This window comes from Homo sapiens, chromosome 5, assembly GCF_000001405.40.
Source record: "Homo sapiens chromosome 5, GRCh38.p14 Primary Assembly".
Lineage (NCBI taxonomy): Eukaryota > Metazoa > Chordata > Mammalia > Primates > Hominidae > Homo > Homo sapiens.
This window is the reverse complement of record NC_000005.10, coordinates 40,029,258-40,044,538: the sequence shown is the minus strand read 5'-3', so window position 1 is coordinate 40,044,538 and position 15,281 is coordinate 40,029,258. Positions and strand designations below refer to the sequence as shown.

At 37.2% G+C, this 15,281-nt stretch overlaps 1 annotated feature.

Moving 5' to 3' along the window:
- Window positions 10,315–11,317: an enhancer, noted in NCBI's record as "amplified fragment containing the chr5:40033325-40034325 (GRCh37) CAGE-defined region". NCBI's record gives its function as "transcribed enhancer in B cells {active_cell/tissue: B cell}" and the evidence as "EXISTENCE:reporter gene assay evidence [ECO:0000049][PMID:24670763]".

Genomic DNA, 15,281 nt, shown 5'->3' with positions numbered 1-15,281 from the left:
CTTGTTGCCCAGGCTGGAGTGCAGTGGTGCGATCTAGGCTCACTGCAACCTCTGCCTCCCAGGTACAAGTGATTCTCCTGTCTCAGCCTCCCAAGTAGCTTGGATTACAGACATGGGCCACCATGCTCAACTAGTTTTTTTTTTTTTTATTTAGTAGAGACGGGGTTTCTCCTGTCCAGCCTCCCAAGTAGCTTGGATTACAGGCACGGGCCGCCATACCCAGCTTTTTTTTTTTTTTTTGTATTTAGTAGAAACCGGGTTTCACCATGTTAGTCAGGCTGGTCGCAAACTCCTGACCTCAGGTAAGACATCCACCTCGGTCTCCCAAAGTGCTGGGATTACAGGCGTGTGCCACCGCGCCCAGCCCCCGCTTTTTCATTTAGCATTATTGCCATGCTATGCCAAGGTATATTAAGGGCAATAAAATATAATACTAAAATTCTGTGTAATGTATCTCATGTATCCTTTGCCTTGGGTGACTCATCCCTGAAGTCAGTGTTTTCTTTCCTGCTATGGCAGAAATCTTCCACTACATTGTTCTTAGAATTTATTGAACAGCTGCTAAGTACGAATGGTACTGACAAGAAAAAAGAATTAGGATTGGCTTCTGTTGGAGCCATATCATATCCAATTAGCTTTTCAACATTGAGATGGTAAGTGTGCTTTTATAATTTGAGCGCATGATAACTCACAAATAATTGAGTTTCACTTAAATTTTAGCAAAACTATCTACTTTTATTGATTTGCTTTACAAAATTATCCATGTCCTTTCATGAACACATTCTATAGATTATTTCTAAAGATAACAACATATATTGTAATTTCACTTAATAGGAAACTTACCTGGCAGGTTAAATTCACAAGTAAATCAAGTTACCTAAATTTTTAATGAAGCTAATACTGCTGCTAAAATACATACATTTATTTGTTGTCAGCCAAGGATGCCAGTGACTAGGTAAATTACAATAAATAAATTGATAAAGTAAATAACTACAGTATAATAAATACATAAGTAAATAAATATTAACAAAATAAAGCAATTAGAATTCTATAAGTGCAGGTAGCATTATCACCATTCAAAATTATCCATTACCTAAAGGATTTAGTGTCAATTATTTTGATAGGTCTGAAATATACCAGGCAAAAGAGAATTTAATATGAATTATTTGTTTTAAGGTTACTTTTCTGTCAACGTTGTTACTTGTACCTTTTCTCTTACCCTCTTAAGAGCTTTAAATATTATTATATATGAAATAATCAGCTTTGCTTGTCTGTTTATGTTATATATAGTCTCTTTTAAAATTGTGTTAGCATTAGAAATTCATAAACATTCAAAGCTGGTTACTTTATTAAAAGTGGGAATCACTGGCCGGGCACGGTGGCTCAGGCCTGTAATCCCAGCACTTTAGGAGGCTGAGGCGGGCGGATCACGAGGTCAGGAGATTGAGACCATCCTGGCTAACACAGTGAAACCCCGTCTCTACTAAAAATACAAAAAATTAGTCAGGCTCGGTGGCGGGCACCTGTAGTCCCAGCTACTCGGGAGGCTGAGGCAGGAGAATGGCGTGAACCCGGGAGGCAGAGCTTGCAGTGAGCCGAGATCGCGCCACTGCACTCCAGCCTGGGCGACAGAGCGAGATTCCGTCTCAAAAAAAAAAAAAAAAAAAAAGTGGGAATCACTGAGTGGATTTATGTATGATTCTAATGAATGGAAACCACCTAGTAGAGTAGTTGATGTAGAAGACGCACTTGGTAAATTGTTTTTAATGAGAGGAGCACATACTGTAGAAATTGCTTTAAAAGAAAATTTTATTTTCTTTTTTATTCTTTTTTTGTTGTGTAGTTTTTTTTTTTTTGTTTGTTTGTTTGTTTTTTCTGGAAACAGAGTCTCGCTCTGTCGCCCAGGCTGGAGTGCAGCGGCATGATCTCAGCTCGCTGCAACCTCCGCCTCCCGGATTCAAGCAATTCCTGCCTCAGCCTCCTGAGTAGCTGAGATTACAGGCGCCTGCCACCACGCCCAGCTAATTTTTGTATTTTTAGTAGAGACAGCGTTTCACCATCTTGGACAGGCTGGTTTTGAACTCCTGACCTCGTGATCCACCTGCCTCTGCCTCCCAAAGTGCTGGGATTACAGGTGTGAGCCACAGCACCAGGCCGAAAATTCTAAAAAATGAAGTTTAGGAGAAATAAAATATCACCATATCAATTGGTGGCATCCAATTGGTTGGTAGAACACGTCGGAGGGGGTTTAACATGCCCTACATTCACAAAATATGAATGGCGATCTTCCAACCTTGTACTCCATTATAATGGAGCAATTATAAATGATTCAAATTATCATCATGCTTGTCAAAATAGTACTTTTATTGATTTTTGACATCTTTTCCTTGAGTTACATAATTCAAATAAATATCAAACCTGTCTCTTTATCTAACTTATCCAAAGCATCACAACATTTTTATTAATACTAAGGTCTCTGTTCATTTCTCCATTCACAAACATTATGATAACTATTTTCAAATAATATTCCATTTTAGTCACCTGACATTTACAGCATGAATTGTGTGAATTCAGCTAAGAATTATTTAAAATAAACACAGTAGAAAAAATATTGTGGCAGGTTATTTTTTTAAATTGGAAGTATAACCAAACAAGCATGCTGGATCAAATGTTGAATTCATGCTCACCTAAAGGAAATGTGTGTCTTAAAGAAAAATCTAGTTAGTAAATCTTTGTAACAGGGATACCTCTCTGGTATATGTGTGAGTCCTTATGAGCAAAAATAAATAAACAATTGATTCTTGAGGAAAAAACATGTTTTGAAATGGGAGATGCAAGTAAAGCCAAAACAAATACCAGTGACCAAAAGGAGTTGCGCTGTGTGTGACTAGGAATTATTATAATGCTGTAAAATAGCTCATTGTTCATCAAGCAAGACATGAGTAATTCAAACTGACTAAGCATGTTGTTTAGTTAACCTGGACATGAAGCTCAAGTTAAATATTATATGTTTATAAATGTGTTTTTTTGAGGGCTTGCTGTGGTGCCCCTCACACAGTAGATGCTGAATTAAGGCTTTCTGAGTAGTTCATGCAATGAAAGTCCTTTGGGCATGCATTATAAAGTTATGTAAAATTATTTAATTCTTTCACATTTTAAAGAGTATGAATTCAAAAAGACCTAATATGAACTTCAGTTCTGCCGCTGTTTAATGTCTGACATTTTCTGAGTTATTCAAACTTTACGAGCCTCAGGCTCCTCATCTCTCATATGGAATCAGTGATACTTACTTCATAAGAATATCGTTTATACTAAGAATTCATATATGAAAAAACAAAATAAATTTCAGGGCAATAGGACTTAGTGGAAAGTATGTAAGACTTATAATTAGAACTAAATTTCCACTCCAACCAGCGAGGAATTGGGTTATTATTGGTTTCAAGTCTTCACTTCCAATCTTACATAATGATCCATTCGTGGCTTCACCATGTGAATTGGCAGCCACAGCAGGATTATCTGTCCCTTGGTGTTGGGTTTGGCCATAGGAGCTGCTTTAACCAAGGCGGCGTTAGCAGAAGTTTCAACATCTTCAGGGGCAGCATGCGTTCCCACTCGCTCTCTTGTGCTTTTGTGTTTGCATGAGGAGAGCATGTCCAAGCTAGCTGGCTGTGCCAAAGTCAGTGAGGAGACATACAGAGTCAACTTGAACCCAGGCTGCAAATTGGACCCCAGTGGATGATCCTAGCTGAGCCACAGCTTGTCTTTATACCAATGAATGATAAATGAATTCTACTTGTTTTTGACTAGTGAGAACTTCAGTGTCATTTGTTACCTGGCCCTGGTTAGCACTAGTTGACTACTATATGACTCCACTTAACTATCTTTAGTACGGAGTTTATTTCTTTCCAAAGCTGTTCATATCATTTTACATTTAATTTGTTCGCATGTTTAAAAGTAATGGCTATAAATTCTCCCTGGTCACCTATGGAAATCCATGAACTGAGAAGCTAAATGTCTCTTAACATTAGATTATGGGCCTCTGCATAGTTTTCTTTTTGTCTATATAGTCCCATATAGCTTGGTATATTTCACCATATTTATTATTATAAATATGGAATACAGATTGGCTAATTTTATATATAGTTCTTTGTGATAGCAATTATAAAATTTACTTATGACAAGCGTACTCTTCCTCTTAAGTCACACTAGCTTATATAAAGCTAGATAAAAGTTTTTAAAAATTCTGTGCACTCAAATTCCTTGAGGTCTCTCTTTATTGCAAGATATGCTGCATATTGGTTTCACTGTGTTGCTGATAGGGATGACAGGGAAGGCACGCCACCTTCTGCAATGCTTGTGTGCATAGTCCTAACTTGACGGTAGCAGCTTCCTCTGTGTTTTGTATGGTCTAGAGAAGCTGCAATAACAGAAAGACCTACAAAAAGATTATAGATGCTTTTTTCTCTATTATGTTATAACCTCAGTTGTCTCATCTTCTAAATGAGGATCGAAATACTCATCTTATAGAGTTATAAAATACAGTAAGCGAGCTGTCCAGGAAGGGAGAACAGCTCTGATCCTCACAGTCACTGGTGTAATAAAATTCCTTCTAAGACATAACTGCATCAGCAAACAGGACATTTTCATCATATCTATGGCTAAAACTAAGTGCCCGACATGCTCAGGTTATAGCCAGTGGAAGGAGTAAGAGAAAGCAGATGCATTCCTACTTTTCTAAGGTTCCGGAAAAGAAGTGACACATATTACTTCTGTTCACATATCATTGTTGAGAACATAGTCATTTAGGCACATCTACCCAACAGGGGCCTGGGAAACATTAGCTCTAGTCAGGTAGTCAAGTCCTCAGCTACAACTCTATCACTATAAAACTTTCTAACACCTTTGCTACAGTTTGAGTGTTTGTGCCTGCACATCTCCATCCCACCAATTTATATGTTGAAATCCTCATCCCCAAGGTGATGGTATTAGGAGATAGGGCTTTTAAAGAGGTGATTAGGTCATGAGAGCTCAAGTACATTAATATAAGGCCTAAGGAAGCTCATTTGTCCCTTCCACCATGTGATGGTGCAGCAACATGACTTCTATAAACCCAGAAGTTGGTCCTCACTAATCTAATATGATTCTGCCAGCACCTTCATATTAGATTCCTCAGCTTTCATAACTGAAAAATAAATTTATGTTTTTTATAAACTACCAATATTATGACATTTTGTTATAGCATCCCAAATGGTCTAAGACAACCCTACCATCTGTTGGACAAAAAGATCTGCTGTCAACCTTTCTTCTACCTAAAGGAAAAGCCCTTTGTCTTTTACGCTTTTGCAATTTCTATATTGCTCCTGATGTCTAATGTATATTTTTGGGATCTTATGTACAAAGTTCCTATTTCAATTCTCTACTTTCTAGCAGTGTGATAATAAACAAGTTACTCTGGAATCTCAGTTGTCTCATTTTTTTTTTTTTTTTTTTTGAGACAGAGTCTTGCTCTGTCACCCAGGCTAGAATGCAGTGGCACGATCTCAGCTCACTGCAACCCCTGCCTCCCGGGTTCAAGTGATTCTCTTGCCCCAGACTCCTGAGTAGCTGGGATTACAGGCAGGTGCCACTGCACCCGGCTAATTTTTGTACTTTTAGTAGAGACGGCGTTTCACCATGTTGGCCAGGCTGGTCTCGAACTCCTGACCTCGTGATCCACCCACCTCGGCCTCCCAAAGTGCTAGAATTAGAGACGTGAGCCACTGCGCCTGGCCTCAGTTGTCTCATTTTTAAAGTGAAGGTAAAAATTATTCATCTTTTACAGATCTAAAATATAATAAAAAGTACATGAAAGCACTTTGAAGAGTAACTGGCATATGTTATACATCTAGTAAGTGTGTGCTATTGTAAATGTAGTCATCACATCGTTTTTAAAAACTTTTAATGGCAGGAGATGCTCATTGATTGGCCAGTACCACTAACACTGCTGCTGTTGTCATTGTTACTGGAGTGGACCTGAGACCTAGAGTCTGACATGAATGAGATCCAAAGAAGAAACTCTCACTTTCCTGCACCTCCAGCTGGTTGCTCCTCACACCATTCCCCAGAACTTTAGTCACGTCTGCTGTGTGGCATATTGGATTTGGTTGGAATGAGCCTTCTAGGACCTTTGCCCATCCTTGGATCCTGATTTCCACCAGTGTTGCTACCCCCTACTTCCCCAGAAACCCCTCTGCAATGGTACTAAAGATATCCAGTGCAAGCCACATAATTCTCTGCCAAGTGTGCATTGCGCCTGCTTGTGACGGAAGAAGAGATCTTTTTGCAAAGCTCCAAAAACTTGGCTGGGTCAGCTCCTGATCACCCCATGGAATTCTGGGGTCAGAGACATCCCAAAGCAGGCTTGTGCTGAGAATATTACAGTGAATCTGTGCGGGGGCTTACAATTCTATTTTGACACCAAATGTGTTTTCTGTCTTGCATATGCCGTAACAAGGTGGAGTGGGTTTCATCCAGGTTACTTAGAATACTGCCCCCCTCAGTGAAGAGGAACATAACCTTGGGTTTACAAGGAAATTTCCTGGCCTATATAATTTCACAATCTCTTGTGGTGGATAATTAACTTGTGCTTTTGCTCCCTGAGTTTAGTAGGCATATTCAGGCTTATCACTTCCTTCACCCAACAGACTCACTATAACTGCACTGTTCAATGTATTCACCACTAGTCAAATGGGATTATTGAGCTCTTTAAATTTGTCTAGTCTTAATTGAGGTGTGCAGAAATTTTAAATGTACACTGAGTCTCAAAGACTTCATATGGAAAAATTTGTAAATATAACTTTATTTTTTATACTGATTATGTTCAAATACTGTTTTAAATGTATAGAGTTATATATGGTGAAAATAAATGTGATATCCTTTTAATTTTTAAAAAATATATAGCTACTAGGAAATTTAAAATGACAGATGTGACCTATATTATATTTCTGTTGGGTGGCACTGCGATAGATTCTATGGGCCTGAGCCAAGTAGGGATTCAAACTTCAATTCTGTTTATCTCCCAGTAAAGTTGAAGACATTTCCAAGAAGTAGGTAGGCATTTACTTCAAAGACAGTCATAGTAAAATTACAATTTGTCAATGCAAGATGAATTATATAAAGACTCTTGATGATCACTAGATGACTCTAGGAATTTCATTGCTGTTATTAATCAAAACCATAAAGACAAAATATTTATGATCAGCAGTACCTGGGATTATGTAAATTATAGTTAAATTCTGTACATTTCAAATGATATCAATATCTACATAAGAATGACTTAAACAAGATGATGATTGGATGGCTCACTAACCCTTCAAAGACTGAAAATTAGAAAAGTTAAGAGATGCTCAATTTCATATGAACTGTTAGAACATGTATTTTTTATATACCCTTCTCATATACTTTCTCTTAATGTTAAACTAGAGTTAAAGTTAGTAGTGACAAGGTCTAAGCATGTCTTTGGAAAATTCTAATTAGCTGAGGATATTTCTCCCTTCACATTCTGGATGATAAAATAACAATTCTGTCAATTAGGAGAAACTCACATGAATGAGAATCTAGCTCTGAACTGAATTTCATTAGCTAAAAGCAGGGGTCTATATTAGCAGGGATAGTTCTTAAAGGTTAAACACTAGAGATACTGTTTCATTAACTTTTAGAAACCTGGTTTTTTAATTTATGTGTCTGTATCAGTCAGTATGCAATCAGAACAGCAGAGTCACAAGGAACCATATTTGTTCATTCACTCATTCATTCATCCAATCTTGTATTTGTATCAAGGGATTTTTCCCAGGCAGTAGACCTCATGCAATTATGAAAGTGGGAGCTAATTAAGTAGTCTCTGTGTAGCTGTGTCCTTGAATCTGCTGTGAAGGCTTGAAGTCCACAAAAAGAAGGGAAAATGCATATAAAGTGGGAGACAGTAGGAACAAACTGGAACCCACAAGTATCAGTTTTTACTGTCTCTCACCTTGATGGCAAGGGGTTCCTGCAGAAGCCAGTGCTCTTCATCAAGGAGCTAAAGATACACACACACACACACACACACACACACACACACACACACACACACACACACACACCCCGTGGAGAATCAGGAGAATTCAATGGAAGGTGGAGCAATTGTAGGCTGAGCTCCTGTCTTAGACCAACAAGGTAAGCCAGAGGATAAGTGACAATTTACGTGACCTACAAAAATAGCTGCTGCTTTACTTCTACCCTCCAAATCTTGCACAAGATTCTCTCTGTGTCTCACCCTAAGTGGAAAAACATATGGAAGGGAAATCTTGGAAATGTAGTTTAACCTAGCCATCACAGTGTAGCCTCAGCCGACACAATACCAAGCCATCACAGTGTGTCTTTATGTGTGTTTTTTTTCCTCCATGCTTTCAATCTGTCTCTCTCTGCACAGAGAGAATATATACATCAGGTAAGTATGGGTAAGTGTGTGTAGCCTTTCCTGGCATTCTCTTCCCTTTGTGTGTGTTTTCAAACACATTTGCATTTGTCTCTTAATGCTTCTCTCCCTGTTACTGTTTCTTTTGGGCCTATTTTCTTTTTTCTTTGACCCTCTACCTTTTCTTTCCTGTATTTTCACCTCTTGACCTCATGCCTGTTTGATTGCTTCACTCTCTTTTTCTGTTTTATGACCAAGAAACTAAATTGCTTTTAAAGTTTTTTAAAAAATCCACTTAGTGAATATATTTTATGGTCTCTATTCCTAACTTTCTAACTAATTTCAGGGCAATTTGGATTTATCTTTTTTTCCAAAAAGACCTTTTAAAAATGTTATATGGTTTTTTTGTAAAAAGACCTTTTAAAATATTATATGGTCCTAGATTAATGTTTTCTGTGAGTATATGGCCCTGGTATCAATGAGGTTTGTCTTTTGTGGTCTATTCAGTATGAAAAGTGATTGATTCTAGGCTCTAGTGGATGTCTTAGAGCAGCTCGGAGAGCCGCTATGTGTCACTTCTTGCCGCCACACAGCATTTGACCAGTATTCCATCTGGTTTTTAGAGTGTTTATCACCTCATTTCACTGCTTGCCTTTTCCAGGTTAAGGATTGCCTCATGAATGTCAAAGCATCACCTCTAAAATTAAGGGATTTTTAGAAAGCATTCTTTCTTAAAAGTTTTTCTTAGACTTTTAAAGCCATCACCCATTTATAACAATTACCAAATTATTAAACATGAAATTGCCCATATGGATATTGTTATTATCTTGTCATATTCTCAGGTGGACCAGATTAATAGAACATTTTTCTCCATAGCCTAAATTCACGAGAGTTTGAGTTTGGGGGAAAGGTAATTAGAAAGCACCAAGCATTACTTAGTATGGTACTGGGGCATTAACCAATAAGGAAGATGGGACTTGCTGGAGAATAGTAGAGGGCATTGGGTTTTATGATAAAGAAAAATAAATGTCAGGGGATAGGAAAGGTGAGACACTACAAACAAATTGTATCTGCTTCTTAGATTAACTAGGAAAGGACTTCTACTGCTGTGCTTCTTAAAAAAAGCCTCAAATCTGAAACTTGTCATTAGTTAGGTGTATCTGAGTCTTGCCTATCTTCATATAAGTTCAGGCTCTTTCTGTGTAGGGAGGGTAATGGAGATGTTAGTCCAGGATGGGGGCCTGTTCACGACAACTGAGCATTGTTCTTCTGTACTCATGCACTCACTCACATTGCACACACCCACCTACTCACAAAACTAGATTGGAAATATATGAGTTATAGTAATGTTGATACTTTACATTGGTGTAGAATTTTAGAATATTGAGTGCTTTCACATACATTATCTCAGAACGCAGGGAGTAAGAGTCAGTGACCACAATGAGGAGGATATGTGGAGAGAGTGGATAAGAAAGAACAACAGAATAGATAGGGAAGAAAGTGCCCATGGGTGGAGGCTAGCTAAAAATTAAGAAATGCCATGGTAGTAGCTGAGCGAACTTGGTACCATATCACTAATCTACTTAACTGATGAATAATGTCTTCTCTAAATGTCCCCAGGCATTGTGAAGAGATGCAGCATATTTTTTTTTAACTTTTACTTTAGGTTCATAGGGGCATGTGCAGGTTTGTCATATAGGTAAGTTCATATCATGGGGGTTTGTTGTACAGATAATTTTATCACCCAAGTACTAAGCCTATTACCCAATAGTTATTTCTTTCTGATCTTCTCTCTCCTCCCACCTTCCACCCTCAAGTAGGCCCAAGTGTCTGTTGATTCCCTTATTATCTCCATGAGTTCTCATCATTTAGCTCCCACTTGTAAGTGAGAACATGCAGTATTTGGTTTTCTGTTCCTATGTTAATTTGCCAAGGATAATGGCTTCCAGCTCCATCCATGTTTCTGCAAAATACATGAGCTCATTTTTTTCTGGCTGAATAATATTCCATGGTGTATATGCACTATATTTTCTTTATCCAGTCAGTGATGGGCATTTAGATTGATTCCATGTCTTTGCTATTGTGAATAGTGGAGATGCAGCATATTAGAGAGTATTGACATTTCCTAGTCTAGACTCCAAAATTAGTTAAGAACATTTGGAAAAAGTAATACAAAGATTTCAGAAGAAAACAGCTGCGCAGGCTGCTATTACTAAATTCATATGAACTATGGTCCAAAAATGCACTTCAAGTCTTGCAGGGTTTGGAACACTGATGGACATCCGTATGTATTTCATAAGGCTCTTTGGCCAAGGAGTAGCAGAAGCTGACAATCAATGGGCTGTCAGTTCATTCAGCCTTCAGGACTTTGGTGGGGAAGAGAAAAGATGGGCAACCAATTTGAGCAGCCCTGTCAAGAGATCTGCTGCCCAGCCATGCAAACACCAGAACAGTTTGAACTGATCACACTAACACAGCAGTCACAGGACTAGGGTTGACTGGACTGTGAAGACTAAGCAAACACTACTGCAGGTCTCATCACCGCATCACCGGAAAGCTGACATCAAAGGGAAGGAAAACCAAGCACCTGTTCTCTCAAGGGACTGACATCACTTAGTTCCTCAGTAACAGCTCTCATGCTAGATTAAATATCTTTTTTTGTTCTAGTTTGTGATGGTTACATCGAAGCTAGGATGATTTGGATCTTAATAATGAAGTTTTGCAACATATCTGTAATTCAGCACTGTTTTCTGTGTCCTCTATCAGTGTTCTATCTAATTCAGGCTCCTGTCAGGAAAAATTAAAAAAGACTTTGAAAGAAAAAAAATAAAGATTACTGGATGTCCTGTCTAGCACACTGTTCCTGTTTACTTGTGACTTTCATCATCTTTGAGCTATTTTAGCGATCTTGTAATTTGTAGAAAACTTATAGTCATGCAAATGATTCTTGTTCATAGAAATTCAGTTGATTATTGCCCTGTGGAAATTGACCAGTTTTGCATCTACTGTATTTGAAATTCATCTAAGCATTTTTGATTGTTAATATACATGTGTTGTTTGATTCTCTTTTTAATTAGTTGCAACATCTTACTGGTTTTTTCATTAATTAATGAATCAAATGTCATCTTTGACATGTATTTATTTTATGTGCATTTTATTCTTTAATGCCTTCTTCAATTCTTTACTGGATTATACCAGCCTCCTAACTTGTTTCTCCATAGAGTAAATTGAGAAATCTTCAAAAATGAAAATCAGGCTAAGTTTTTTTTTTTTTTCCTAGCTGAAAAATCCTTCAAGGATTTTTATTGTTCTTATAATAAAATACACACTCCATATCTTGGTTTACAAAACTCCGAAGTATCTAGTACTTATATTCTCTCCAACCTATTTTTTTTTTTTTATTGATATGGAGTTTCACTCTTGTTGCCCAGGCTGGAGTGCAGTGGTGCGATCTCAGCTCACTACAATCTCAGCCTCCCAGATTCAAGCGATTCTCCTGTCTCAACCTCCCTAGTAGCTGGGATTATAGGCACCGCCACCACTCCCGACTAATTTTTGTATTTTTAGTAGAGACGGGGTTTCACCATGTTGGCCAGGATGATCTCGAACTCCTGACTGCAGGTGACCCACCTGCCTCAGCCTCCTAAAGTGCTGGGATTACATGCATGAGCCACCGTGCCCGGTCTTCTCTAACCTAATTTTATGCTCTTCTACTGATTTTTCATTATATTCCAGCTATACTGGTCCCATTCTGTTCCTGGAATTTATCAAACCGTTATCCATCTCAGGGAGGCCTTTGCGATCACTTATCTCTGCATAGAATGCTTTTTTGGTAGAAATTTGCCTGGCTGACTCAGTCTTATCCTTTAGGTCTCAACTTCCCTCTGAGGTCCCCATGAGACCATTACATCCCATTTCTCTCCTCAGACAAGATTTCCCTGACTACTCTTTCTAATAGTGTGTTATGTATTTACTATTTATTGCATCCTATTTGTGGTAATCTGTATTCTTTATCTCATTTCTATTTGATACCTCCACTAAAAGGTAAACTCAATGAAGAGATAGAATGTGTTGTCATATTATCTACTGTATCACAAGATATATTTCATGTAGTAAAGATCATTTGTGGAATAAATGAAAAATATGGGAAGAAAAGCCCTTGAATTTCAGAAGAGACCTGGGGACTTATGAATGAGAAAATAAAGACTCTACTAAGGAGCAAGTTATAGAATATATGTAAACAAGAAAGGTGGTGTGTTCTATGATGACCAGAAAGCCAAGTGTTGGTGTGAATATATCCAAGAATAGGAACAAATAAGGATACAGTGGCCATATATGGGTATGATACTCTTTAGAAGAATAAATGTTCCATTTCTCATTTACTTACAGTTAGAAGTATTTGGTAAGATTCTCCTTATTGACTTAGGAACTTAGGTGGAAATTCAATAATTACTCAATACCAATATCTCCCACTAAAGTAATTTTATTATTTGGGTTTCTAGAACAATAATGGAACCAAATTAACACTGGATGAGTATAGAAAGAATGAATAAATGCCATCTATGTTAATCTGATTAGCAGAAAGATAGAGGCATAGATAAAGAGGATTATTTAATATATTGATAATAGTTGAAATGACATTCTTTATGGGGAAATGAAGAATTACTTTGATTGTAGTTTAGATAGAGAGGACTTATTGGACAACTCTCCATTTCTAATTCCAGGTTCCTTTTGATCTTGTTCTCCTCCTCAATCTCTTTTCACGTTTTAATCAGTTTATTTTTTTCTGTATGAGCTATTTTTTTCCTGGAACATTTTACTTTTTGTAGACATTTTTCTCCTTCACCTTCTCTAGAAAATGAATATGGAAGGTTCTTAAAGCACCAAAGAACATATGTATAAAGGACCTTGAGTTGATGATGATGTTTTTAATAATCATTGCATCTCAATTATCCAGGCATGGTCCGGGCAATGAAAATTGTATATTGACCATGAAAGATTAATATTAAGATAACAGAAGAAGGGTAATGTCTTAGCTTGGTTTCTCCAGACAGTAGAGACTGAATCAAAGAATTAAGTGCAAATATTTTATTGGAAAGTGAGACTCAAGGAGGTGGAAAAGAGACAAGGTTAGCAGGGGAGGAGGGAGTGCCAGGACAAAGATTCATTATGCAGTTGCCCACAGCTATAGGTGACTAGATGTTCGAGCTCCCAGGTCTGCTTAATGAGGCATATGAAATGCATCTCAAGGCTACCAGTATATGGGAATGAAAGTGAAAAGCAAGTTCATTGCCTTTCATTACTCATTAGTCATAGGTTCACCCCATAGCATTATAATTCTTCATCCTTTTCAAGTTGCACAGTTGCGAGTGCCAAGAGCATTTCTAAAGGGTCTGCTACCACATATCATTAAAGAAGCTCCTGGGAAGAGGGTAGGCACTACAAGGTCTAGACCTCAGGTGTCAGATTTCACATCTGCGAAACTGAGTGGTTAGAATAAGAGATAACTGAGGCTAAAAGAATCTGAAGTGTTGTGAATAAATGTACAAAATATAGAGGAAGCAGCAACATTTAAAAATTGAAGACAGAAGACAGGGAAAAGAACAGAAAATCATTAACCAGCTGTGTGACCTTATACGATGCAATCTACAATTTGCAACCTCAGACCTTTTGACTATGACATAAAGGAGTTGCTCTAGCTCAGTGGTCCTTAATGTTGGCTGAACATAAAATCATCTGGGGATCTTTAAAAATACCATTGCCTAGGGCCTGTCCCCAGATATTCTGATTTATTTTGTGTCTGGTGCAAACTGAACAATGGGACTTTAAAAAAAAAAAAAAAAACTCCCTAGATGATTCTAATGTGCAGGAAAGATTGAGAATCACAGCTGTAGAATCAGTAAAGGATTATTCACTTATATCATGTTATGATTGTATCTACAGTTTTTCAAATGCCTATGGAAAAATAATCTCCACTGTCCTTTTAGCCAGATATTGTTCAGAACTTCCAACTCCGTGAACTTACGCTTATAAATTCTTCCATTTGAATATCATGTATCAGTTCCGCAGATGATTATGGATTTTTCAATTTTAGCCAAACTGTAAGTTAAATTAATTATTTCAATTGGCCTTTGATTTATATGTTTTTCTTTTTCCAGAATAACTCTGTTGCAATTTCTATTGGCTGCATAGTCTAGTTTTTTAGAACATCCGCCTAGTGATCTTTCTTCTTGCCAAATTCTTTTGGAGAAATTGCTAACTGGAAACTACTTTGTTTTTCTCTGTTTTGCAATAATTGAACTGTTTTTCAGTCACTCTTATCTAAAAATATTAAAATACTAAGTAGATATACAAATTTTAAAAATTACAAATATAGCTAAGGTTTAAAGACAGAAGATACCAAAAAATGCCCATGAACTCACAATCATTTTAGAAAAAAATACATTTTTATTAAACCCAGATTCCCTGTGAGTATGCCCTTGCATCCTAACCTCTTCCATTACTACTGCTCAAAAGTAGCCACTATACTTAATTTTATGTTTATGATTCTCTTGCTCTTCCTTATAGTTCTAACACATTAGTTAGAATATTAAATAACACATAGCTTAGTTTTGCATATTTTGAACCATATATAAATGAAGTTGTATTGTATGTATTCTTCAACTTGTTTTTTAGGCTTAGATTCATCTGAGATTTACTTTCATTGTAACTGTAAATAATTGATTTTTACTGTTATATAGCATTCTGTAGTAGGACTAAACTACAATTTATCTATTTGTATAATTAGATAGATTAACTGCAGTAACAAATAATCCTAAAACATTCAGTAGCTTATTTTTTGCCCATA